The 5,200-nt window shown below is 32.9% G+C and overlaps 1 annotated feature.

Moving 5' to 3' along the window:
- Positions 832 to 1,032: a silencer, noted in NCBI's record as "peak4387 fragment used in MPRA reporter construct". NCBI's record gives its function as "represses an SCP1 promoter by STARR-seq MPRAs in K562 erythroleukemia cells {active_cell/tissue: K562}" and the evidence as "EXISTENCE:reporter gene assay evidence [ECO:0000049][PMID:32103011]".

Raw genomic sequence — 5,200 nt, forward strand, 5'->3', positions numbered from 1 at the left:
GATCATTTTTTATTTCCAGTCTTTAAACATTTTCTTAACATTTTCTTCTATTGCTTCACTTCACTCGCTAGGACCATCAGGACAGTGTTGAACAGAAATTGTCAGACTGATCATCACAACTTTTTCTAGATTTTAGAAGGAAATTTTTCTTTATTTCAACATAAAGCAGCATGTTAATGCCAAGTTTTAATATGTGTTATCAGATTGAAATTTTTTTGTATATTTCTACATTACCAAGAATTTTTAGCAAGAGTTTTTGTTGAGTTTTAATTTAAAAATCATTTGTTAATTTCATCTGATTTTTTTATTTCTCTTTTTACCTTAAGAGATTAAACTGACTACAGATTGAATATAAACAAACAAACAAACAAACAAAAACTCTAAAATGCTGTGGATCAACACCACTTAGTAATTTGTATACTTGGATTCAATTTGCTGAAATTTTGTTAGACATTTTTGCGTCGATATTTATGAGGGATGTTGATCTGTAAAAGTATTAAAATGCCTTTGACAGATTTTGATAGCAGTGTTATTCTGGCCTAATAAATCAAACTGAGGTATGATCCTTCCTTTTCTATTTCTTAATAGCATTTTTAAAATTGGTGGTTTTTTCCTTCCTTAGTGAAATTTACCAGCAAAGTAACAGGCCTTATATTTCTCTTGTGGAAATATTTTAATTTCAAATTAATGGTATTTTGTTCTTGTAGGGTGGTAATTTTCTCTGTGTTTGGTCTTAATGGACTCTTAGCTGATCACCCAGTTACTCAGCGAGGTCTCTTCACTCTGGAAGAGCTGGAACTCCAGTGTGTTTTAGTGCAGCATGACCACGGGTATTACCGTTCAACATTTAGGCTTTATCAGTGATAACTATTTGTCCTCATGGAGTTTTTGCCGCTGGGCCTACACAGTTTAGGCTTCAGCTTAGAACACATAATGAATTCTTATGCAGATTTCTGCCCACCTTTGACCTTTCATGATTTCCTCTTCTTGGGTAAGCTGCCTTATTAATCTGATACACTTCAGCAGTCCAGAACTACACTCTTTCCCTTCTCTGCTCTTGGAGATGACTCTTTTGTCTGAGATTCACTTTGCTGTGCTGAAAAAGAAAAGTGCTTCAAGGAAGATACCAAGGAAAATCACAGGGCTCATTTATGTATTTCTCTTCTTTCAAGGACTACAGCTTTGTGTTGCCTATGTTCAATTTCTGAAAATAATTAGAGCATATATACTCTGTGTGAGAAGGCAAATCCAGACAGTTAGTTTGTATGACTAGAAGCAGAAGTCTACATGGAGAATTTTACTTAACTGTGTTATAGTTTCTTTAATTATTTCAAGAGTATGTTTAATGTTCCACAGATCTCATTCTATAAATCTTTATCATCTTAGAGCTCTGATACTATTTAGAATTACTATTCCTTCAAATAAGAGATTAGAAACAGGGTTATATTTGGGGTAGGTTGACTTACTTTTCTGGGAACCAAAGCATATTAAATTGACCAGTTTTAACACACTTCTATGTATGCACAAAGATATATATTTACATTCTGCAAAATCATTCTTTCCTTTTTGAATTTGAAAAGGATCTTTGGTATACAGATATTCAATAGCCAGCCTGAAGATTCATTTGAATTCATTTAATGTTTAGATTCACTACATGAAATGATCCAGAAGAGAGTACTCAAATATAAGTATCTATAACGATGGAAATATACATCTCCACTGCCCAAGATGGTAGTCATGAGTCAATATTGATCATGTGAGACGTGGCAAGTGTTACTCAGGGTCTCAATATTTAAATGTATTAAGCTTTAATTAATGTAAATTTGAATTTAGCAAAACATGTATAGCTTGTGGTTACTGTTTTATTCAGTGCCAATATAGAACATTTCCATGATTACAGAAAGTTATCTTAGAATACTCAGTTCTGGACTATTTTATCTGGCTAAATTAAATGTTAAAATATTACAAATTCATCTTCAGGCTGGCTGTTGAATATTTTTATAGCAAAAGTCATTTATAAATTTAAAACTCAAATAATTATCTTTTTCAATATGTAAAATATGTCTTTACATATTCTACTCCCTTCTTACATACATATTCTGATGTAACATAGGTATTCTCTTATTCATGCACACTGAAATGACAACATAAATAATTTTACTAAGTGTCACCATATAAAAAACTTTGAACAAAATCAGATTATATCACTGTGGATATTTCTATTTTGAACTAACTTAGATGATAATTTTAATCTATATCCTAGATGAACTTTAAATCAATAAAATCTCTCAATGGTGTTATAAATCTCAAGCCATTAGCCACTGATTATCCCATTTTTATTCTTTTCATATTAATTTTATTGCCATGTATGAATGCTGTAGCATCCATGTTTAAATACTAGATAACAAAATGCACTGGCATCAGATACAATAAGGATGAAATGAGATATAATTAGGACTCTGGTAACACACATAAAATTGGAAAGATACCCTGAAATTCAAGCCAAGAAGATATTTATCCAGCTTATTTTATTTTGAGACAGAGTCTTGCTCTCTCACTCAGGCTGGAGTGCAGTGGACCATTCTAGGCTCGCTCCAACCTCTGTCTCCCAAATTGAAGTAATTCTCGTGCCTCAATCTCCCGAGTAGCTGGGATTACAGGCATGTGTCACCAAGCCTGGCTGATTTTTGTAGTTTTAGTAGAGACGGGGTTTCACCATGATGGCCAGGCTGGTCTTGAACTCCTGGCCTCAAGTGACTGGAACACCTCGGCCTCCTAAAGTGCTGGGATTACAGACGAGAGCCACTGAACAGCTTTGATCCAACTTATTTGGATGAATGAGTTACATATTTTACATTAAATCTGTTATTGTGATAATTCTTCATGTTATTTTCCATGTATAGATTTATATATAATGTAATTTTAATTTTTTTTCACCGGAGAGTATAAACAACAATTATTTTATAAACAGGATAATAAAAATAAGACAAAAATTGTTGAAATGTCTTCATTTGACTACTAACTTTTTACATGTTTGTTACTTTGAAGCTGTTATCAATACTTGTGATGTATTACAATTAAGTAAAGATTTAAAGATGCCATTTTTAACTTATTATGACACAAAGTCTATAAATTCTTATATTTTGAGATTTGTATTTAAATAACTTGTGAAATTTAATTTTAAAATAAAATTTCTTCTATGGATTGGTCTTCAATCGAGGCATAAAAAGGAATATAACAGTGTGGCACTATAACTTCTATATTGAATTTCTATATTATTTAACACAATTATAATTTTGCTAATGAATTGTAATGTTTTTAAAAAGCTAGGTGAATTTTATTAAATTCATTACATGGCGATAACACAGAGAAAACATTTTGGGGATTCTTTTAAAATGGTATGTACAAAAGCTTAAAAGTTGTTATGTAGTGGCAGAGATAAAAAAGTAAAACAAAAAAAAGCTTAAAAGTTTGCTTTACTATTTATAGGCTCATAAGTGTAAGTGTGCCAGAAAATGAAAAAGAAAGGAGAGAAATTATAAATAACTGTGTGGAAAACACAGATAAAGCATAAAGATAGAATATAAAGATAGAAGCATTTTAATATGAGGCAGTGATGGCTTTTTGAAGAATCCCAACTAAGGACCTACTTTTAGTTAATAAATAATATGTTTCTAATCCCTATATTGTCCACAGCAACCTTTTTAGGACATGGAGCAGTGACTATGAGTGCCAGAAGGCAAGAGTAGAAGCAATTGTAAAATCATGAACACTAGTTTGTAAAATCCTCACTGAGATATAATATCTGTTTGCCTCTACCTTAGAATTATTAATGTCTTGAGGGCTGGGACTATGTCTGTTTCCCTCATACACAGCACTAATCCTGGATGGTCAGTCTAGATGCTTAAGAAATATCTGTTGAATTGACTGACCTGAACAATGGTAATAAAAAGTGGCAGAAAGTTTACTGTTAGAATTTAAGTACAAGACTGGTGGTAACAAAATCAAAAACAAAAACCAACAAACAAAAGCTCAACAACAGCAGTAGCTAACTCAACAGAAACAATTGGACAAAAGCTGCACCACTAGTTGTGATAAAAGAATCAAGACTGTTAGTGATAATGGCAGATTATCACCGCACTGTGATACTGTTGGCTGCACTGTGTATTAAAACATCCATAGTAATTTAATGTCAGTGGAGTGAGTGGCACCAGATGTGATCAGTGCAAATGGAGGCATTGGCCACAGTACAGTTGCATTAAAAATAATCTAAACAGGACCAGCATCAAGGGTCATATAACAGTGAAGCACTAGACTAGAAGAGAGGGTATTAAAGACTCAAGTGATGTTGGATTGGAGACATCCTAGATGTCATGGTTTAAAGGCACAAGGCAAATTTTGAAGAAGGAAGTAGTAGGGGGAAGACACTGAATCAGAAGATATATTTAGGTAATATTATTAAATATAAAGTTATATTTATAAGATGTAATATGTAATATATTATGTTTATATATTAAATCAATATATGATGCATATTATATATATTAACATTTCATATAATATAATGTATATGTGATATAACATAAATATATTATAATATATGTATAGTATATGTTTGCCTGTATCTTAGAATTATAAATTTCCTCCCAGCATAAGAAAATAATTTACAGAAAAGTCTTTGCATTTTCCATACACATTAGAGAAGTTGAACTCCCTTAGCCAGTGTGATGCTAATTAGGTTCCCATAGATAATGCATATATTCTAAAATTATGTTTAAGAAACATCTTTTGGCCAGACGCAGTGGCTCATGCCTGTAATCCCAGCACTTCGGGAGGCCAAGGCGGGTGGATCACCTGAGGTCGGGAGTTCGAGACCAGCCTGACCAACATGGAGAAACCCCATCTCTACTAAAAATACAAAATTAGCTGGGCGTGGTGGCACATGCCTGTAATCCCAGCTACTCGGGAGGCTGAGGCAGGAGAATCGCTTGAACCCGGGAGGTGGAGGTTGTGGTGAGCCGAGATGGCAGCATTGTGCTCCAGCCTGGGCTACAAAAGCAAAACTCCATCTAAAAAAAAAAAAAAAAAGAAACACCTTTCATTTATTCCAAGATGTTGAAAAGAAACTTAAGCCTTTCTTTGTGAATTCATCTATTTGCTCATGTTATGTTTGTTATTATTTTTTACCGACTTTACTTTT

The sequence above is a fragment of the Homo sapiens genome, chromosome 21, assembly GCF_000001405.40.
Source record: "Homo sapiens chromosome 21, GRCh38.p14 Primary Assembly".
Lineage (NCBI taxonomy): Eukaryota > Metazoa > Chordata > Mammalia > Primates > Hominidae > Homo > Homo sapiens.